We start from the raw sequence: 23,062 nt of genomic DNA on the forward strand, positions 1-23,062 counted from the left end.
AGTGGCAGAGCCAGGATTTGAACCCAAGTCTGTCAAACTTAATACTCTGTCCCAAGGGGTTTGCCAGTAAGTGGAAGTACAGTACTAGATCCATGACTCCCAACTCCACACTTCTATGAAGTCTGACAATTTTCAAGGAACTTCTGGTTGAACCTAGGAATCTACTTTGGGCTGCCAAGAGATAAAGCTGGAGTATGCAAACATTAGGCTAAGAAATGTTAGTTGGGCACAGTGGCTTACGCCTATAATCGCAGCACTTTGGGAGGCTGAGGCGGGTGGATCACCTGAGTGAGGCTGGAGTTCGAGACCAGCCTGGCCAACATGGTGGAAACCCTGTCTCTACTAAAAGTATAAAAATTAGCTGGGCGTGGTGGCGGGCACCTGTAGTCTCAGCTACTGGGGAGGCTGAGGCACAAGAATCTCTTGAACCTGGGAGTCAGAGGCTGTGGTGAGCCAAAATTGTGCCACTGCATTCTAGCCTGGGTGACAGAGCAAGATTCTGTCAAAAAAAAAAAAAAAAGGAAGGAGAAGAAAGAAGGAAAGAAGGAAGGAAGGAAGGAAGGAAGGAAGGAAAGAAAGAAAGAAAGAAAGAAAGAAAGAAAGAAAGAAAGAAAGAAAGAAAGAAAGAAAGAAAGAAAGAAAGAAAAAGAAATGTGACTCTCTGGATTCCAAATGACTCCTTGATTCTTCCTCCCTGCTGCTGGGTTAGCACTTACTCCCATTACTCCTATCGCCCCTGAAGTACAGGCGGGGTGCTCAGTAACCTCCCAGAACTAATCAAGGACTCAATTCATAAGGACTTTTACTATACTGCTATAACTTGATGAAAATTTATGAGAAATTCAAAATTGTCAAATATGGTGAGAAGGAGATGTTTTCACTCAACAAATATTTATTGAGTGCCTTTTATGAGCTAAGCCCTTGGGCATCAAAGATCCTCAAGAGAAACTTTCACCCTGTTAGGGTAAAGAGACCTCAAAAAACAAAGGCAGTTCAGTATGTGAAGCACAACAACCAAGTTAACTTTGAAGGATGGTGGCAGCCTAGAAGGAAGGGTGGCATCAGGGAGGGAAGATGCAAAGAAGGGCTGGCCTCTAATTTGAGGTTTAGGGGTTGAATTCACCAGGCAGGTAGAGGGAGAATAGCATTTCTAGTGGGGAGAACAGCATTTCTAGTGGTGAGAACAGCAGAAGCACGGGCACAGAGGCATGAAAATGCATGGCATGTTGAAGGAAGCCAGTTTTTTCTTAACCTCATTAAAATCATCTGACCAACAAATATATACCTTATTTCCTCCTTTCTAAGTTAAGAGGAAAAAAATCAGTAAAGAGCTAGAGTATTTGGAGAAGAAATGTCACTGAGGTCACTCCATGGACATGATTTGGACCCCTGACATCATTTTAACAGTGGGGTTTGGGGATTTCCATATACTGTTTTTACATCACTTGCCTGCCTCCCAAACAACCCCCCTACTTTAACAAGCAGCAGCTGCTCATCCTTCTATCACAGACATGCAGCCCCTGAGCTTCCAGAGTAGCTGTCCCTGCCAGCTGTAAGCAGGGAAGTCAGAAGCATAGAAATGAAGAAGCAACCAAAGCTCTGCCCAAGATACAATTTCAAAGCAGCTCATCTTTCTTAGGAGACCTGCCAAATAGGTTGGCCCTGACCCATTAAAGAGACAGGCAGACCCATTAACTCTATGGTTCACTTGTCCTGCTGTCCAGACTGCACTCAGCCTGCTTTCCTGTCAATCCACATATGTGCTATCTCAGCAGAGGGGACTAACATTTATCAAGCAGCTATTGTTTTATGTTATCTTACTATACCTATTTTTTGTTTTAATAGAAGCAGCAGGCTCAGAGAGGCTAAGGAACTTGCCCAAGGTCACAAAGCTAGTCAGTATGTGAATAAGGATTAAAGCCTAGGTCAGTGTGTCTCTGAATTGTATATTCTCTACAGTATATTAATAACATCCTACCAGGTACTTTTGGGAGTTTACATGTGTGCATATACAAGCTCATCTATTGCTGCTGGAAATTTGAGTACATTGCCAGGGTGGCATACGTGTCAGAGAATCATGGGTGCATGTAATAGTGACATTACACTGCAGTAATAGTGGCCTGCAGTAATAGTGACATTGATGCCCACAGGATAGGACCTGTGATCAGAACACAACAATGAAAAGTTGTGTCTTGTGTAAGTCCAGATTTGATAGAAAAGGAAAGAAAAAATGTATTGTCTGTCAAAATGGTATGTTCTTATAAGGAAATACACAAACATGAAGGCAGAACACAATAAAAAACAACTGGGAAAGAAAAAAGGAAAGAAACATAAGTTTTCTCATTTGTTGAGCTGATTCAATTCAATAGGCATTTATTCAGGACAGACTATGTGTTCCAAGAACAGGGGATATAAAGATGAATAAGACAATTATCACTTCAAGAAACTTTCAGTCTATCCCGGATACTGACTCAGAAACTGTAATCCAATAAAATAAGTGTACTTAGGATTCAAAGAAAAAACACTTATGAGGGAGCAAATAATTCAATCCATAGGGACTTTTACTATACTGCTATAACCTAACTAAAATTCATGAGGTTGGGGGCGTGATGGCTTATGTCTATAATCCTAGTATTCTGGGAGGCTGAGATGGGAGGATCACTTGTGCCCAGGAGTTTGAGACCAGCCTAGGCAACATAGTGAGACCACTGTCTCTTAAAAAAATATTTTTTTCCACGAGAAAACATCACAGGGAAGGTGACTTTTAATCTGGTCTAAAAAGATGAGTAGGTTTTCCCCAGCTAGAGGAGGGCATTCCAGGAAGAAAGAACAGATTGTAAAGTCAGTCCCAGAAGTAAAACAAAATACGTGGCATATTCTGGTAACAGAGAACAGCTTGTTGTAGGTGAATCAAAAGGAGCAGCAGACAAGAGGCAGGCGAGGCAGGCGGGGGCCATCTTATGAAGTCACCAGAGTCAACAAGTGTGGTCATGAACTCAGCCTGGTCTTCAAACTGTTTGTTACTTGTCCATGCTGGTTCATGCTGGGGTAAGGACAGAAATTGTGACTTTAGACATTTTTTATAGCAATTTCACAGAGAAACTATGGCCTTTGAACTAACAAAAATTCTGGGTTTGTATAGCATATTTTTAAATCTATATGGGTTTATTTCATTTTCCTAGTGTTGGGTCTGTGATGAATTGAGGGGAAAAAAGCTGGTTCTTCACCACATACAGTTTGAGAAACACTGAGCTTGGGGTTAACACTTTCCTAGTATAGATACTAAAATAGAACAGAGGCATAATTTTATGCTCTGGACACATAGTGTCAAGTTGAACTTAAGCAGACACTATTGGTTGTCTTCCATAGCCATTTCCCCTTTTTCTTCAGTTTATGCAAATCTAATTTTGCTTGGGTAATATGTTAAGGAAGGTGGGCTTTTCCCCAAGTTGCCAGAGCCTGAACTAAGATTGGTTGAAGCCAAGCACAATATCTCATTCCCCTTGATAGCGACTGGCACAAAAGTAGACCTGTGAGCAATGAGATGTAAGAGGAAGTACGTGGGGGAGCTTCTGGGAAAAAGTATACTCCCTGGTAGATAGCAGGCCTACCTTTCATCCAGGCTTGAATAGTTGCGTGACGATGTAATGCTTGAAGTTACCATAGTCATGAGATAGGATATGCCTAAGGATGAGAAGGGTAAAGAGCAGAAAAATAGAACAAGCCTAGGTTTTTTTGTTTGCTTGCTTTTTTAAGACAGGGCCTTGCTCTGTCAGCCAGGCTGGAATGCAGCGGCACAATCACGGCTCACTGCAGCCTCAGTCCTCTGGGTTCAAGCGATCTTCTCACCCCAGCCTCCCAAGTAACTGAACTACAGGCATGTACCACCATGCCGAGCTAATGTTTTTATTTTCTGTAGAGACAGGTTCTCACTATGTTGCCCAGGCCAGTCTTGAACTCCAGGATTCAAGCAATCCTCTGGCCTCAGTCTCCCAAAGTGCTGGGATTACAGGCATGAGCCACCACACCCAGCCAAGACTAAGTTCTTGAAAGCACCACTGAGCCACTATCTCAAACCAGGAGCTTTTAATTTCCAAACTTCCTAACAGGGAGGTAAATTACTTTTCTGTATTGCTTGTGTCAGTGTAGTTGGGTATTCTACTGCTTCCAGTTGAAAGCATCCTAATTCAGATCTCACTAAGGACAACTCTTCAGGGAACAGTTCTCTGAACATCTGCTAATTGTCACATTCTATAAAAACTGAACATCAGAATTATTTTGCTCTACCAATAATTTTCTTTCTAAAGTTTGAGCAAACTATGAGAGGAATTCCTCCATAAACTCAATTTGACTGTTCAGGGTGACCTGTTAGGTGAACAAGATGGTGTAGTGGAAATCTGGTTGTCTATTCAATATCCATTTACCTCTTCCTCAATTGTGACGGAATTTGTTTTGTCCAGATATCAAACCTGCACATGGATCTAAGCAGGGGTGGGATGAAGGGGGCGGATCTTGTGTAAGCCAATCAGCATAAGGTATTCTGTTGATAACTATTACTGGTCCATAAAAATACATATAACCTAATTTGGCTCAATCAGACCTTTAAAAAGGGGACTAAGAGTCCATGCCCAGGGAATGGTTTCTCTCTCTTCCGCTGGACTTTAACAAGCAAGCACATGACGGGCTTCATCAGTCCTGGACGAGAAAGCTGAGATGAAAATAACTTGAGTCTTGGATGAAATCAGTGACCCTATGATATCATCACATCTAGAGCTGACTCTAACTGGACTTCCAGCTATGTGAGTTTTCCTTATGAGGATTTTCTATTACTTGCTATCAAAAGCACCATAATTGACATAGATGGAATATCTAGCAGTTTTTAATACCTAAAGAAATAAACGCTGGGCATAATCACACATGCACTGTTTAGGAAAGCATCTTGGAATATCCACCATACCACTGAGCATTCAACTTTATATTTCTACGGTTTATATACATATATCCACTAGACTATAAGCTCTTTGAGGGTAGAGTCTATGTCTTACTACTCTTTACTACTCTGTATAGTTGGCATATAGTATGTCCTCAGTAAGTGATGAATCAAATAGCCTCTCATCTTGAAAAACGTGTCTGATTCACACATGAATTATCAACACTAGGGCTGTTCCCTGCAAATAATAGACCTTCACTAAGTATGCATTAAGTGAATTTATAACTACAAATACATGATGTTTATACTGGATAACTAGTACACCAAAGAACACCGGGCTTCAACTTACCTCGCAGGTTACCAGCTATTGGATCAGGGTGATTTCCTTATCCTCTCCAAGCACCTATACTCACCTGTAAAATAAGGACCATGGTTTTTCCATCACATCATAGGTCATATTAGACCTATGAAAGACATAGTATTCCCAAGATAGGCCTTACTTAAGGATATGATCCTGTTTTCATCAACCTTCAAGTCAAACATTTCAAGGTTAGACAAACGGGGGACTAGAGAGAATAGTGTGAATATATCCGTATTGAGTTGTCATTATTGTGAAGAGCAAGGGCTTAGCAAAGAGGTGCATTAGAATGTGGTTGTTACCCACTAGGAGGCCAAGTTCTTCACTTTTCAAGTGACTGTGGTGATATCTCTTTTCATTATTACCGAAATGCTGTACCTCATCTTTGGGAAGACTTAAGCACTAGGAAAGGGTGGGCAGAGGGTCTTGTGAGATGTACTTTTAAGTGTTGCAGAGGCCAAAAAGGGTGCTTTCAGTTCCCTTACAAATCAGGCAAGCATACCAAACTGGCAAAAGTTTAAAAAAATTGTGTTGCTCAGAGATTAATCAGTGCTCTCAGACACTAAGGTGTAAATGGATATATTTTTTCTAGAGATCACTTGGGGGCAGTCCTCACTCAAAGCCTTGAAAACACGCATGGCCTCTGGCCCATCCTTAGCTGAAGTGATTAGTAAAGGACACTTGTAAAGACTTTCCATAAGGAGACTTCTATTGCAGTGTTATCAGAGTAGCCAAAAAAAAAAAAAGAAAGTAAAAGGTGTACACACACACACACACACACACACACACACACACACACACAGAGAGAGAGAGACAGAGGTGAGAATGTCATCGAAGAGAGGTCCTATTGTAGACTGATGGGATTTCAGATTTCTTCCTTATTATGTTTCCATTAAACCAACCAACAAAATAAAACAAACAAAAATTCGGAATTTAGGTTATCTGACATATATCCTGTTCCAGACTGAGACCCAATTCCTAGAACGGCATCTGACATACAGAAGGCACTCTATATGAAGTATTTGTTTAATGAATGAATGTCCAAATGCGCAAAAAGAAAAAATAGGGTATTGGTTAAATTATGGTTAAGTCACAGATGAATTTATACATAGTCAATACAAATGACACCACAGACCTATACTCACTGATGGTAAAATACCTTAGGGGCAAAACATGATAATGTTATAACCTCATTAAAAATATGTAGCATAGAAAAAAAATTTTATTTTGTTTTAAAAAATGTATAAAGGCATAGGAAAAGTCTAGACTAGTATATATCAGAAATTAACAATGGGTGATAAGGTTATCGATTTTTTTGTTTTCTTTTTTGCAGTTCCAGGACATATTCAAGCAGAGTTTGGATAACCACCTGCCAAAGATCTGTATTGGGTGGGAAGTTGGTTCATACCTGTCTTAATTGTCCAAGATTCTATTCTTCACCTAGATTATCTCTGTAAATCATGAAGTGCTTACTAAAAGTATTATATCCAAATGAATATTCAAGTAAAAATATAAACAATAAAATAATAGAGAATGCTAATAACAGTGCTAAATACTGTGTATACATCATTTTTAATTAGTACTGACAATCTCGTAAGTTAGGTATTACTTCTATACCTTTTTTTTTTTTTCAGCTGAGAAAAACAGACCCAAAGAAGCTATGCCTTGCTTGAGGTCACATAGCCAGCTATTGAACCTAAGTCTGTCATACATCAAAGCCATGCTCTTAATGAATTAGGAAAGAATCTTAAGGAATCATCTGATTCAGCTCCTTATTTTATAAAGGAGGGACTTTTCCCATCACACAATGATACATGAACATTATACATCCTCTTAATTATGTTCTCAGTATCTTTTGTTCTTGAGATTTTAGACTCAATGTACTTACAAGCAGAATATGATCATACTTCATTAGCCCATCAGCAGCTACGAGGATGACAAGGTTGCTATACTAAGGAAATCACACTCTGTTCAACTCCAGGCATCACCATGGCATAGCACTGAGCTGTTTGATTAGTGACATTTAATACCAATTCAGTCTCTAGCCTAATTAATTTCTAATTAATTCTAATTTCTAATTAGTTTCTAATTAATAAGAGACAACTGTCTACCCTGTAGGCACGAAACTTAAGATCCTAGTCTATTTTAAAATGTAACTACCCATGTACAGATTCATAATGCCAAACAGTTGAGATCTTCTAAGCCAAATTACCCTAATCTGGTCCAAAATCTAAACTAACTTTTCCAAAAGACAGCTAGTAAAGAATAACAATAATGGTTTAAATAATAAGACTAAAGGCTTGTTCTTACCTTTAAGAAAGTTAAAAAAAAAAAAAAAAAGAGTGTTGAATGAGATGATATGGCTACCACACTGATTCTGAATTGGTAAAGGGTTATTTTACTTCTATGCACCTAATTCTGGAGATTTCATTGGTTGAGGTCAGTATCTGCTTTCTCCTGACAACAGATATCCAGAGTTCCCAGAATGACATAGTAATAAGAACATAAGAACCTTATGTTACAAGATTTGTTGGTATATATCCTTTGGGGGAAAAAGCCACGTGAGCAAATGAGGAACACAAAAAAGAAACACAACTGAAGATCTTCCACTAGTAATATTTTACTTTCTTCTTACAATAAATTATAAATACTTTTTCCACATATCAAAGTTCGTCAAAGAACTCCCAAAATTAATCTTCTTCATTCTTCAGGAATTATTTATTCACACAGCAGACCACCTACAGAAAAATATTTATTTTAGAAAGTCAGATTTCAAACATCATGCCAGATCTATGGAGTCAGGGAATTAAGACCACTAGAAATGAATGCCTCAGATGAGTAATTAACTAATTGCCAGAATTATTCCAAATCAGTCATAAAATTCAAAATCAACATTTTAAAATTCTAGGTTTGCCTAACTAAAAACATTAGTGAAATTATTCATGATATTATTTACTCTTTAAAAGTTTTTGAAGTAAAAACTCTCTCTGCGTGTATATATATATAATACATATGTGTGTGTTTGAGAAATACATATTTCTCAAAAATATCCTCCAAAAAAGGCTAAAGCAGTTATTTTTACAGATATTCAAGAAACAAGACCTGCAAACCCCTCTTTGCTGATTCAAGTATGCCTGGCGAAGATCCACAAAGTAGAAGGCAGAAGGTCAGCTCAGTACCCAAGGCACTTCCTGTGGAAAGTTACTCACTTAATCCCAAAGGCAAGACAAGGGCAACCCTTTAATATTCATTTGGAAAAATCAAAAAGGGAGAGTAGCATAGATAGGGTTGCTGATCCAGTCAAGTCAATACCAGGCTTCTCACACCTCTCCCAGTGCCTATCCCAGAAGATTGAGAACAATGCTAGGAAGGTAATTAAATTGGGGTAGCTAACTCTTCAAGTCTAATGCAAATATTTCCTTCATTTAGCTGTTCACTTCATTTGGTTTAAATAAAGATAAACCACATCAAGATACAAACATCTAAACTCTTTTCTAAAAGACTCAAAGGAAGAATACATTTATAGAAAAGTTTGGAAAGATAACCAAAAACGAAGCCATTCAACCTTTCAATTATAGCAGCCCATAGCATTGTTACGACTTTTGCGACTGACTACATAACAAAAGGGGCTGTGTGGTGGAAGACCCTGGATTTAAACCTGTTTGATTATATCTCTGGATGTAAAGTCTTTGACTGGAGGGATAATCTTTCTCTCCTCAGTATTTTCCAGGGTCTTAATAAATATCTGCTGAATGAACAAATGTTTGAATGGCAGAAATTATTCTTTCTGGATTATCTTGGGATATTTTCATACATGATCAGTTTTGTGTGTGTGTGTGTGTGTGTGTGTGTGTGTGTGTACAATTCAGCATATTTTAAGCATCCAACTGTTAAGTTGTTAAACTTAATATTGAGTATCACCACTATTCAGTACTAGTCCTTTAATTTCTTTCAACGACTTTAGTCTCCAAAATAGGTTCTTTAGGCTTCTTCTGTCTCCTAAAGGCAGGAAGATAGTAGCCATCTATTTCCTCATATTTCTAATGAGGTTCTAGGTTCTTCTAATTACTCTTTTCAGTAAAAGCAGCAGTCATAAAATAGAAAAAAATTGTCTAAAATCACCACCATACCTATTTTTTCTTGAGTTTTCAAGTCTCTGCCTTTGCTACTACTAAATTTTCAGATACTTTATGCCTAGCATTATCCCTGCTATTCATCTTCAACTTAGGCCAGTGGTTGTTAAAGAGGAGTGCACTTGAAAATCATCTAGGAGTTTCTCAGTCAACAGGTGCAGACCAGGGCCCAAGTTGTGAATTCTGGAAAACATTCTTCAGATGATTCTGAGGTGCACCTCTGGGTAAGAACCACTGGGTGAATGTAGCCTACTTTCAGGTAAGGTATAAAAAATGTATAATAGATTTATTCCCAATCTACTGCACTTGAGGTACAATTAAGATCTACTTAGGAATAACATTAAAATCTACAAAGGTTTTTGAATTAAGGAACTTTCATGATCGTTGCCAGAGAGATCTAAGTTTGCAAAATATTTTTCCTTTGAAGCTATTCTCAGAAAAATGTGATCTAACAGTCTAAGAAATACCGATTTAGGTTAAGTTTATCTTATAGCAATGCAGACAGTTGTGTTGGATTTCACCCTCCAGCCAATGGCCTGTTTACTGGGTTATATGCAACTGTACATTTCCGCAACAAGTCTTTCTAATTAGCATTCATAATGAGGTTTTAAGATTGAAGATCAAGATTATGTGCAATCCTAAAAATGAATATGTTGGAATAAAATCTCATTAAGTACAAGGCGTGAAGTGTAAAGTGCCTGTGATTTAGAGAATATAAAAATCTTAACTCTAATCTAATTCTACCACTATCCACTCCTAACTTGAGCAAGTCTTTTTTGACTTCACTGTGCTTCCATTTCCCCATGGAGGTTGGGGAAATAGGACACCTGGGACCAATAAGGATCCAACACCCAGTCCTCTTCCCAAAATATTATTACACTGAAAATGAAAAACATGGCAGTTTGAATTCTCAGAAGGGTCCTATATGGATTCAGATTGTTCTTCTTGTAACCAGGATTCAATAATAATCAAGTCATATACTTAACAGACCTCAACTGAATGTCTGCTATCCACAACTCTAAAGGTATGAGCTATTCTGTTCTGGTTTTTACAGATGATTTATTTTACATTGAATCATCACAACTCTATGAAGTAGTTTGGGCATGTATTATTGTCTCCATTTTACGGATGAGGAAACCAAGGTACAGAAAGTTAAGGACCTGCCCAAGACCACACAATCAGTTAAGCAGTAGATTTTCTAAGTCTAAAGCTTTTGCATTTTCTTTTACACACAAATGAAGTACACAAACATAATTCTCACTCTCTGCCCTGATAACATAAAGAAAACTATGATATCATATGATACTTTTGAATATATGCCACTTATAACAATTGTACCACCTTTGTGGTTCAGATGAAGTCCAAGATAAGCTTTTGATATTCCTAAAATTAGCATTTCTTTTTATTTAATCACCCCTTTTTATCAAGGCAAGTTCAGCACAAGCCTACAGCTTACACAACTGACGAGGGAGTTAGATCATGAACAAGGAAACCATGTACAAATGTTAAGGTTGCATCTTTAAAAATAGTTAATAAAGTACACATACTTTTTAAGAACACACTCCCCTTCAAATTTACTTATTTTATAAAATAGTTCATTATGGGATTTCTTTAAATAACCATCTATTCTAAAAGCAACTTAAGTATATCATTTACACAACAGTAGATATACCATACTATATATAGAATCACAAAATGTATTATGGTTCTCTTTTTATAAATAATAAGTGAAATTCAGAGGAGTAATGTCTTGATGAAGCTAAATGTAGCTAAACTTAAAAACATGATAAACTAAACATCAGGAGAATAAAAACAAAGCCTCAGGACTTTCAGCCTAGACTGTTTTCCATTACACAGTAACTTCTTATCAGCTTGCGACAAGTTCCTTATCCCTCCTTTTTTATAGCTCAGTGAGGAAGACTGGCCATATGTGAAATTCCAAAGAGGCAGGAAAGAGGTGCAAGGGAAAGAAGCCAGGCTCTCTAGTACTAATATATTGGCATATGGCTTTGGCATTCTCTCTCAGCTGTTATTAAGTTAAAAGTGGTAGTGTGGTGTGGAAGTTAGGGTAGGGGCAAAAAGCAGAGGGAATCGGCATGGAGACTGAGGCTCCAGTTCTGATACTGCACAACCCACCTTGGGGGCCATTTCATAACTATAAGCTTTAATTTCCTTATTTATTCATTCATTTAACAATCCTCCATTAAGCACCTACTATGAGCCAGGCACTGTTATAGGTAGTGGGGATATGACAGTAAATGAAATAGAAAATTCCTACTTTCTCAGAGCTTACATTCTAGCTGCCGTGAAGCAACACAGGTAATTAAAAATATATGTATCATGCAGGTGACAGTGTATAGAATAGAGTAGCCACTAGCCACATGTAGCTATTAAAATTTTTACAAACTAAAAATTCAGTACCTCACTCTCACCAGCCACAATTCAAGTGCTCAACAGCCACATATGGCTAGTGGCTACCAGACTGGCAAGTGCAGATACAGAGCATTTCCATCTTCACAGAAAGGTCTTAGGACAGCACCATGATAGAGTGATGGGGAAGGGATGTAATTTACATGGGGTGTTGAGGGAAAGCCTCTCTAATAAGGAGACTTTTGAAAGAGACCTGAGTAAAGAGGGAGTGGGGTGAGGGGGTGAGCTAAGTTGATAACTGAAGAAAGAGCTTCCAAACAAAAGAGTATCATTTGTTTGTGGAATTGTTGGACACATACCACTTAAGGTCCCTTTCAGCACTTAAAATGGGTTAAGAGTTCCAAGTTCTTTTAAAAATGGCCTGAGGCCCACCGCCCTGTCTGGGATGTCAGGAGTGCCACTGCCCGGCTGCCCACTGTCTGGGAAGTGAGGAGTACCTCTGTCCGGCCACCCCGTCTGGGAAGTGAGGTGCCTCTCCGCCTGGCCACCACCCCATCTGGGAAGTGAGGTGCCCCTCTGCCCGGCTGCTGCCCCGTCTGGGAAGTGAGGAGCGCCTCTGCCCAGCTGCTGCCCCGTCTGGGATGTGAGGAGCGCCTCTGCCCAGCTGCCGCCCTGTCTGGGATGTGAGGAGCGCCTCTGCCTGGCCGCCCCACCGTCTGGGAAGTGTGGAGCGTCTCTGCCCAGCTGCCCACTGTCTGGGAAGTGAGGAGTGCCTCGGCCCGGCTTCTGCCCTGTCTGGGAAGTGAAGAGCACCACTGCCCGGCTGCCCCACGTCTGGGAAGTGAGGAGCACCTCTGCCCGGCCGCTGTGCAACCTTCCAAGTGTGAAGTGACAGCCTTGTGTGTGATCTTTTCTGTCTTCCCCAAGTTTGCATTTTTGACATTAAAGTTTACTTTTTAATTAAAAAAAAAATGGCCTGAGGCTTTAGTTTTATTCGAATAAAGCATGCTACAATTCCATTTTCATTTTTCAGAAAGCAATACTTCCGTGGGATACCCACTCCCTACTTAAAAGCATTTCTTGGCCAGGCATAGTGGCTCACACCTCTTAATCCCAGCACTTTGGGAGACCAAGGCAGGAGGATTGCCTGAGTCCAAGAGGTTGAGACCAGCCTGGGCAAGATGGTGAAACCCCATCTCTAAAAAACAACACAAAAAATTAGCCAGGCACGGTGGCCCACACCTGTAGTCCCAGTTACTTAGGAGGCTGAGGGGAGGATCACCTGAACCTCCCAGGTTGAGGCTGCAATGAGCTGTGATTGGGCCACTTCACCCCAGCCTGGGTAACAGAGTGAGACCCTGTCTCAAAAAAAAAAAAAAAAAAGCATTTACTGAAGTCCCACAATATTTATTAGAAACAAGAAAGAGAATATGTTTCTTTTAGTTCCCTCAGTCAATTTTCCTAAAGCCATGGGACCTAAAGGCTTTTGTCAAACCCTTTCTTAAAAGCTCAATTCTCCCCTTCCCCAATCCGCTAAATGACTGTCTTTACTGACATAATTTACTCCCTTCATTGGGAACTGAAAAATCATGGTTTTTTCAAATTGATACTTAAGCATTTTAGATTAACCAGGTGAACTACCTTTCAGAGAGAATGTAGCCCAATTGTTGCTAAATCTGTAAAGCAATACACAACTTTGAAGCAAGAAGCTTACCATTTCATATTTTAAATCCTAGGGCTCTCATGCATTCCTTGTGGGCCTCAATTAGATGTCCACAGTGTTCTTCTCCTTTCTCGATGATACTATAAAACAAAATGTACTTGTTATCTAAATATGCATTAAGCACATTATTAAGTATGCATGATAGTGATGGGGAGTGAGACAAAACACGGGTATAATGGAATGTAGCTGGAATTAAAACAAACGCTATTACCTCAAACAGCTTTGTTTTTATTTGATCTTATGATATGCCCATGCCTATGAAGACATTCCACAGATAAGTGATTTTGGGGGGGAAATCTGATAAGAAATAATCACGCATATTAAATATTGCCTCTAGTCAATATCCAAGGAGTAACACTGCTCTATAAAGAAATAAACTGAGTAAAATATTTATGCTAAATGAAGGGCACAGAGAACAGCTCAATTTTTTGCTTATTATCACAGAGAAATTAACTTTCTGATTTTGCCCTACATTCAAACACAACCAAATAAATCTACTTCTAATTACATCAAAAACATCTGGTAGCCAGGAGACCGAGATAAACACCCCCTCATGATGATCAAAGAATATTTTACTTGTAAAATTCACAAAGTAAAGACTAGGACTACACAGCTTTATTTCTAAGGCCTGAAAATGTGATTTTGCAAATAATCAAGTTAAGCCCAATTCAATTACAAGGAAAAACTGACTCCTGACTATGGATATTTGGGGAGAACCCACGTGGTCTGAGGCAATCGAGGCAAAGGGAATTTAACAAAGGGAATAGGTTCTCCTTCCATGGAAACTCTACCCATCCTTCAATAGCTCAAGAGCTGCCTGCAAATGGGAGATTGCCTGGGATAGTGAGATCATTGTGAAGATAATAGCTAGCATTCATTGATCATTTATTGCCATGTATACTGTGTTAGCCACTTGACATGGCTTGTATCATTAACCTTTACAATAATACTGGAGGGAGTTTCTTTTATTAGAGTCATTTTACAGACACATGAGGCTCAAGGTCACCAAGTTAGTGGATTAAGATTCAAACCTTGACTGTGGATCCCAGACTCTTAATCATGCTGTCATACCATTCAAGGTTCAACAGCACTTACTGTTACCACTGGAACAATTTGTTCAGACTAGTCTTTCAATCCTACCCGTATTATTTACAAAGTACTGAGGATTAATAAAAGCACTGAGCTCCTACACTCTTATTATCCCATTATACCACTAATGATTTCTTTCTTATATCTACTATCTGGGAAGACAAAAGGGGCCAGAGGAAGAGATGCACATTCACGTTATCTGAGGACGTCCTCTAATGAGATTTGCTCCACAAGAGAGGCTATATAAAATGAGAACAAATCTTTTGTGGATTGACAATCTAGATGAACTATTCTTAATACTTTGTCCCCTGCGTCGTAGACTGATTGATTTTCAACTTTTGGTTGTCTTAAAAGGGTTGAAGCGTAACTCTTCAGAACTGTAAGGAATACACTCTGTGTCCTACTGTCTCTAAATTTTGGGAGAAAGCCTTAGAAATTACCAGAAAACCTTTCCTGTTTGGTCTTAACAAATCTATCATAGCCCTTACCACGTCGTATACAAGTCACTGGTTTATGTCTCCATTAACTTTAAGCTCCTTTATATCAAGATGCATCTTTATCCATGTCTACATCTTCGGACCTAACGCAGTGCTTAACCCATAACAGATACTCAACACACATTTGTAGGAAGGAATGAGTGGTTGAAGCTTGCCGTTCTCCTCTCTCTCCATCGTTTCCCGGTACTAAGCTACGGGATAAGTCAACAGAGACCCGACCACGAAACCTACAAGGCCCAATAATTATCTCCAGAGCGCCGCAATGGGGCGGGGCGGGGCGGGGCGGGGGGGGGGGGCAGACAGGGAGGAGGAGTGGGGGAAGGGGGGAAGGAAGAGGGCAGAGGGCAGAAGGCAGAGGGCAGAGGGCAGAAGGCAGAGGGCAGAGGCCGTAGGGCAGAGGCACCGGAAGGCACAGGCCGCGGCCCGGGGCTCGTCGGCCGCGCCCTCTCCGGCTGCGCACTGACCACGCATCGCGCGCCTTCTTGGTCTCCGGGCAAGCGCAGCAGGGCTTCAGCGGCTTCTTCTCCTGAGACTCAGGCGGGGCAGGGTTTGAGTCAACCAGACCCGGCATCTTTCGCGCCAAAAGCAGCTATGAGCGGAGACAGCCAAATCTATGCCAGCCTCGGCAAACGCCGATTCGTCCGCAGTCACTTCCGGCAGTCGCTCTAAAAAGTACAGGAAGTCCTGCTTCTCTCTGACAGGTGGGGAATTTAAAAGGAGCGCGTGCGCAGAAGAGGCAAAATTCGGGCCTTAACGAGAGGGTGCCCCCTTCAGCGCATGCGCAAGGAGGCCCGCTGAACGCTCACCTGGACTGTGGTATTTACACTCTAGGACTCTAGGTCATAGAGTATTTGTTAAATCAACTTGGGGAGGGCTCACGAAGAAAGAAAGCAGCAAGACAACTGAGAGATCTCGTAACACCCGCTCCTCCCCACCCAATATCGAAACGGAAGCCCAAGATGGTGAAATGATTTGTTCAAGCCAAACAGGAGAAACCATAAGTGAAAGCCAGTTCCCTTGAATAACAGACTAGTTTCCCCCTTTTCTTTTATCCGCCTTCTTCCTGATCCCCACACACTGCAGGCCTTTCCTCTCTTTCATTGACCTATTTAAAAATGAATAGCAAGACATAGAACCACCGAGTCCACAACTATTGGGGGAATTTAAAAGGTCCTATAACCCCCTATACACCTCCTACGCACATTAAATCCTCAGCTAATTTGCATTTATAGCCCCCCTCCAACTGATCTGAATTCAGTATGAATTATTCAGTCATATATTCGTTAATATACTGATGAATAAAATTGAAAAATACCATTTCCATAGCATTTCCTCAGGTACATAGATAAACTGGTGCCCGTCTTATTCGCAATGAAATGGATATAATCATTGGATTTTTTTCCTGCAGAGTATTGTTGGAAACAGGCAATAAACTCTTTTTTATTTTATTTTATTTTATTTTTTGGAGATAGGGTCTTGCTCTGTCGCCCAGGCTGGAGTGAAGTGGCACGATCTTGGCTGACTGCAACCTCCACCTCCTGGGTTCAAGCAATTCTCCTGCCTCAGCCTCCTGAGTAGCTGGGATTACAGGTGTGCACCACCACGCCCGAGTAATTTTTGCATTTTTTAGTAGAGACGGGGTTTCGCCATGCTGGCCAGGCTGGTCTCGAACTCTGACCTCAGGTGATCCGCCCACATCAGCCTCCAAAAGTGCTAGGTTATAGGCATGAGCCACCGCGCCTGGCCAATAAAATCATTTTTTAAAGCAGGACTTGGAGGCACTGTTCAATAGCTGCAGGGTGATAGGTATTTTTAGGTACTTAAACTTTCAGCATCACCTAATCAAAGTTTGTTTCTATATTATAGATATTTAACTCAGGGAATTTACAGGCGTGTCTGTGAACTGGTGCTGTATAAGAGTAATTTCTATATGTGTATTTTTCAGGTTACTAAGACCATCCCCATTTTGTCATCTGAAAACTTTCAATAAGGATGATTTTTATTTCCTTCTGGATTGATATTTTTAATAATACAACATATTACCCTCATGTTCTAAATTCACCCTCATCCATTATTATCAATTCTTTCAACTAGGTGCTAACTCACATTGTTTAGAATCTTGCTAATCAAACAGTGCTTCCTGGATGAGCAATATCAACATCACTTGTAACCTTAATATACAATAAAATGTGGTTCAACAAATTATTGGGGAAAAGAAAATAGGCTAACCATCTGGAGAAAATTAAACACTACATTAAAAGGAAGAGCTCTAGATGCATTAAAGACCTAGATTGGAAAGATTGAAATATGAAATTAATAGCAAATTGTGGAGGAGAATATTTTAATACTGAGGGATGGGGGAATAACTTATGTTACATTTCAAAAGTACAAATTGCATGTCAAAAAAATTGAAGAAATTCATTACAGCAAAATAAAGGCTTGGGGTTTTACATACAATACTATAGACAAAGTTAACAAATAAATGATAGAATTGGGAGAAAATATTTGAAATCTACATATTTTTAAAAATTTTAAAAGTTAAAAAACTAATGTGTTCACTTAGAATATGTATTCAGTTGAAACAATGTCACCTTCAGTCGCAATATCTTCCATATATGTAGGGCTGTCGAGGTTGTGAACCATCATTTAATCTTCATGGCAGTCAAAATTATTATCTACATTTATAGTTGGGGAAAAATTGAAGTTCAGAGGTGTACATTTGTTCAAGGCTGCGTAACTTGAAAGTGGCAATCCTGAGTCTCATCATCTTCTCCCTGTACTCTGTCTACTATCCTACTTAATTTATCTAAATGCAAGGCAAGGCCTGGTGTAGTGGCTCACACCTGTAATCCCACACTTTGGGAGGCTAAGGCAGGCAGATCATCTGAGGTCAGAAGTTTGAGACCAGCCCAACCAACATGGTGAAAACCCATTTCTACTAAAAATACAAAAATTAGCCAGGAGTGGTAACCTGTAATTCCAGCTACTTGGGGGGATGAGGCATGAGAATCACCTGAACCCAGTGGGTGGCAATTTCAGTGAGCCGAGATTGTGCCACTGCACTCCAACTTGGGTGATGTAGTGAGACTGTCTCAAAAAAAATTAATTAATTAATGCAAAGCAAAATTTTTTTATTTTAAAACTAATCATTGATCTGTATTCACTTGTGCTATTGCATTTTTATGTATAGGAAATGAACAAGGAAGAAAAGGAAGATAAATATCTAACAGAGTTTAGAGAGCTAAGAGAATTGAGATAAACAGTAGGGACAGATAACAGACCCAAAGACTCAAACAGCTTTTCTGCAATTGAGAAGATTTTTTGGCCCACTGTCCCTCCTTGCTTCAGGGAAGAAAGATTACTGGTTGTGATAACACTGCCTGTGACTTCCTCAGGTTAGCTAATATAGGCAGGCCTCAGGCAAAGAAGTTGAGTAGCAGCCCTTTCTGCACCACACTTCTTTAACCTGCTGTGTTCCAGACATTTACAACCTTTGGTTTCCTTACTGAGTGCTGTAACCCTTAACACTCTTTCAACAACTGCTTCTTCAGGATGAAATATTCTCCTGACTTTGAAAAAAACAACCAGTGGCCTTTCCAAAGTGAAATATTTAGTCATTTATATCTAGCTACTAAACTATCCTCTTGCTTCAGAATGGTACAGCTAACCCACATATGTGGGTTACTTTTCCTTCTACCTTTTAATTTATATGAAGTAAGGTGGAGCGTGCTGGCTCACGCCTGTAATCCCAAGCACTTTGGGAGGCTGAGGTGGGCAGATCACTTGAGGTCAGGAGTTTGAGACCAGCCTGACCAACATGGTGAAACCCCGTTTCTACTAAAAATACAAAAATTAGCCAGTCGTGGTGGCAGGCGCCGGTAATCCCAACTACTCAGGAGGCTGAGGCAGGAGAATCCCTTGAACCAGGGAGGCGGAGGTTGCAGTGAGCCGAGATCACGTCACTGCACTCCAGCCTAGGCAACAGAGTGAGACTTTGTCTCAAAATAATAATAATAATAATTTATATAAAGTAAGCTGTAAGGTCAACTTTTGATTTTTATGTTATCACTATGCTTTTCTTCTTTCTCTATCATTTTTTCTTCTCCTACCCAGTCTAAATGCTTTTATACTCGTGGGATGGCCTGTTTCGGTATTAAAGGAAAGGTAGGAGTATATAACATAAGAAATTTATCCTTTCCCATTCTACCCCAACAAAAATCTTAATAGCCCACTTCCCCCAAGAAAAATAATTTTAGAGAGCTGTAATTAGAGTTTAAATTGACAGTAGGTGGCTGATGAATACCAAATAATAAAAGATAAAATTCACCCATCTGTCTTACAAAGGCAACTCTGAAATTAGTTTGATTCATACCTTTTATATCAAGCTCTTGCTCATCAATTTTGATTTTAACCAGAATTGGAGCTCTTTTAAACCTTTGGAATGCTTTGCTATTACTATAATTGCTAAATTAGCAGGCATTAAGACTTGAAGTGGTGACTGTAGTGGATTTTTTCATAGCACAGTGAATATGTTTATTGTATGTTATTGAATGGGGACATTAGCTACCAGTGGCACCAAACAGCAATTTTGTGGATGCATGACAGCCCTGGTAATGCCAGAAGCAACAACTGAGAAAGTACTTTCTAAAATCCTTCTATGATAAAGGTATTTTTAGCCATTTTTCAGGCCTAACTAATCCCAGGTGTGCCAGCTTTACCAAGTAAGGGTGAGTAGTTGTTGGTGGAGAAGGAGTGACACCATATGTTGAGAGATAAGAATTACAAGACTTAAATTCTCATTGGCCTAATGTACTATGTCTACTTTGTATAAACTAACTTACAAAAGTAAGTAAGGTAATTTTTGTCCTTATATCTGCCCCTGCAAAGGAAAAAATGCTTTCCAATTTCCACAGGTAAATATGTACTGTACATCGTTCTTTATAGCTGCAATTTTATTCAAATTGCCTGCCACAGTTTTATGAATGTTGGTTGTATTAGTCTGTTCTCATGCTGCTATAAAGAAATACCCAAGACTGGGTAATATAAAGGAAAGAGGTTTAATTGACTCACAGTTCTGCATTGCTAGGGAGGCTCCAGGAGACTTACAATCATGGTGGAAGGCAAATGAGAAGCAGGGACCTTCTTTACAAGATGGTAGGACGGAGTGAGTGCCAACAGGGGAAATGCCACTTATAAAACCATCAGATCATGTGAGACTCACTCACTATCACAAGAACAGCATGGGAGAAACTGCCCCCATGATCCAGTTACCTCCACCTGGTTCCACCCTTGACACATAGGGATTACAATTCAAGATGAGATTTTCAGTGGGGACACAGCCAAACCATATTATTGGTAGAAGCCTCCAAGCAGCTAGGTCACAGATGAAGGACAATTTATTACTTATAGCAATAGCAGCAGCAGAATATCAGCATTTTTATGCCAGTTCCCTGAGTTCCAAGTCCCACAGGGTGATGTGAAGAAAGCCAGATGATATCCACATATGCACTGGGTTGAATTACAGGAAAGGAACAGTGAGCTTAGGAAACTCAAATCTTTAGTTGTGGGCAGTAAAAATGTCTGACTTTTGCTCCCAAAGTAGACACTACCTTTGTCTTCCAAGGTTGTTTCCTACACAAAGGAACAAAGGCAAACAGTGCCACCCCTTGAAAGACATGCAGAAGGCCGGGCACGGTGGCTCACACCTGTAATCCCAGCACTTTGGGAGGCCAAGGTGAGCAGATCACGAGGTCAAGAGATCGAGACTATCCTGGCCAACATGGTGAAACCCCATCTCTACTAAAAATACCAAAATTAGCTGGGCATGGTGGCACATGCCTGTAGTCCCAGCTACTTGGGAGGCTGAGGCAGGAGAATCACTTGAACCTGGGACGCGGAGATTGCAGTGAGCCGAGATCACACCACTGCACTCCAGCCTGGCGACAGAGCGAGACTCCATCTCAAGAAAAAAAAAAAGACACGCAGAAACATGTGCACCCATGGAGAATTATCTCCCAACATTACTATGTACTTCGTTTTAATTAAATTTTATGAACTAACATCCCTTTCCAATATCAAAGTTATTTTAATACAAGTAACCTAAATGACATGACCTGATTTCACGAAGGTTGTGTATTAGTGATTTATTGCTATTACTATGGACTGAATGTTTGTGTCCTGCCATAATTTATATACTGAAACCGTAATCCCCAGTGTGATGATATTTGAAGATGGAGCCTTTGGGAGACAAGTAGGTTTAGATGATGTCATGAAGATGGAGCCCCCATGATGGTATTAGTACCCTTATAACAAGAGGAAGAGACCAGAGTCCTTTTGTTGTACCCATGTGTGGATACAACAAGAAGGCAGCACTCTGCAAGTCAGAAGTAAAGCCAGGATCCTTGCCAGGTACTGAATTGACCGGCACCTTGATCTAGGACTTCCCAGCTTCCAGAACTGTGAAAAATAAATATCTGTTGCTTAAGCCACCCAGTCTATGGTATTTTGTTATTGCAACCCAAGGAGACTAATACAGCTGTATAACAATATTACCACATACCTGGTGGTAATACATATTTATTATCTCACAGTTTCTGTAGTCAAGGGCATTACTTAAGTGACTTCTTTGATTAGGGTCTTACAAGACTTGAATCAAGCTTTCAGCTGAGACTGTGGTCTCATCTGTGGTTCTACTGGGGAAGAATATGCTTCCAATCTTATGTTGTTGACAGAATTCAGTTTCTTGCTATTGTAGGACTAAAGGCTTTGGTTTCTTGCTGGCTATCAGTTGGAGGCTACCCTCAGCTCCTAGAGGCCTCCTGTAGTTCCTTGCCAAATAGGGTTCCCAACATGGTCACTTACTTCCTCAAAGCCAGCAAGGGATAGAGAGCCACCCAGAAATATGGGCATTACAGTCTTATGTAAGAGAACCATGTAATTACATCTATCATATCATATTTGGCATATTCTATTGGCTAAAATACTTGAAAAGAGGGGATCACATGAGAACATGAACACCAGGAGGTCAGGATCCAGGGGCCACCTTAAGAATCTGTCTACCACAGGTCGATTATCTAAAGTGAAAAATTGATTATACAAATGGAGTCATTCCTGTTATACCCAACTAAAATTTAGAGTTAGAGGACCATAGGGGTGAAAAAACACTCAGGTCTCAAAAGCCTGCTCCAGAAACTGTCCCACAAGCCCAATCCAATGAAACAGCTGCTACAATTTTAAGACTAGTTTGACAACAAATGGCTGCCATGACTTCAAAGCTTGTTTTACCTAGTAACTTTTGCCACCCAGCAATCAGAGCTTGCCAGCTCCTGCAAAATGCCACAAGCACCAATAACCTTTCTCTTTTCCCAATGAAACCTCAACCATTTCCTTTTTTTTTTTTGAATATATTGGAGACCACTTCAGTTTGTATGTTTGTCCCAGATTGCAATCCTATTTCTTTGTTTATTTCAAAATAAACTCTTTTTGCTTGGAGATTAGTCTCTATCTGTTATTGACATTACATGGTGTCAGAAGTGAGATGCAAAGCAGATTCACTTGGAAAGATAATGGCCCCTGGAACTATGGTGTGCAGTACTCACTGTCAGACCCCTTGAGCCCCCTACTTCCGCTGGTGATCTTTTTTCACCCCAGTGAGTCTTTCTTGGGTTAAACACCCCTTTTTTTTTTTTTTTTTTTTTTGGATTTGAGTTCTTCAGCTTTATTTGGGATTTCTTTATGAAGGGCCTTTCCTCTCCTATTTATTAGGCCTCTATTTGTAAGGGATTTGAAGAAGGCTTTGTCATTCTTCCCGGTGAGTATGTACTTTACTCTTTGGTTCATTTTGTGTGCTTGATTTTTATTTTGGCTTTTGTGTGTTTGGCTTTGCACTGACTCACTTGGATATGTTTATTTACAAATGAACTCCCCAAATTCAAAGATATACCAAAATAGCCCCCCAACATT

At 40.0% G+C, this 23,062-nt stretch overlaps 1 protein-coding gene and 1 long non-coding RNA gene across 6 annotated transcripts, besides 2 other annotated features; one reads left to right on the forward strand and one right to left on the reverse strand.

The window, feature by feature from the left end:
* Positions 1,205 to 1,254: an enhancer, noted in NCBI's record as "active region_20320". NCBI's record gives its function as "activates an Ori minimal core promoter by ATAC-STARR-seq in GM12878 lymphoblastoid cells {active_cell/tissue: GM12878}" and the evidence as "EXISTENCE:reporter gene assay evidence [ECO:0000049][PMID:35858748]".
* On the reverse strand, positions 2,336 to 15,767 carry COX17 (cytochrome c oxidase copper chaperone COX17). 5 transcript variants are annotated; one of them, NR_167772.1, is made up of 6 exons: positions 15,223 to 15,364; positions 13,506 to 13,594; positions 13,074 to 13,149; positions 5,280 to 5,343; positions 3,612 to 3,684; positions 2,336 to 3,043 (listed from the first exon to the last, which is right to left on the reverse strand). NR_167772.1 is itself a non-coding variant. In NM_001382002.1 (4 exons), the coding sequence occupies exons 1-3, from the start codon at positions 15,669 to 15,671 to the stop codon at positions 13,510 to 13,512; spliced, it is 297 nt and encodes a 98-aa protein (NP_001368931.1). In that variant the 5' UTR covers positions 15,672 to 15,767; the 3' UTR covers positions 7,893 to 8,026; positions 13,506 to 13,509. The 5 variants fall into 5 exon arrangements, 3 of the variants coding, with proteins under 3 accessions (NP_001368931.1, NP_005685.1, NP_001368932.1); NR_167771.1 differs by lacking the exons at positions 13,074 to 13,149; positions 15,223 to 15,364 and adding an exon at positions 15,565 to 15,767; NM_001382002.1 differs by lacking the exons at positions 2,336 to 3,043; positions 3,612 to 3,684; positions 5,280 to 5,343; positions 13,074 to 13,149 and adding exons at positions 7,893 to 8,026; positions 15,565 to 15,767 and having other exon boundaries at positions 15,223 to 15,327.
* On the forward strand, positions 4,631 to 7,978 carry LOC105374063 (uncharacterized). Its single transcript, XR_924390.3, has 2 exons — positions 4,631 to 4,799; positions 6,622 to 7,978. It is a non-coding gene; the product is annotated as an uncharacterized LOC105374063 (long non-coding RNA).
* Positions 15,946 to 16,205: an enhancer, noted in NCBI's record as "active region_20321". NCBI's record gives its function as "activates an Ori minimal core promoter by ATAC-STARR-seq in GM12878 lymphoblastoid cells {active_cell/tissue: GM12878}" and the evidence as "EXISTENCE:reporter gene assay evidence [ECO:0000049][PMID:35858748]".

Source organism: Homo sapiens, chromosome 3 (genome assembly GCF_000001405.40).
Source record: "Homo sapiens chromosome 3, GRCh38.p14 Primary Assembly".
NCBI classification, from domain to species: Eukaryota; Metazoa; Chordata; class Mammalia; order Primates; family Hominidae; genus Homo; species Homo sapiens.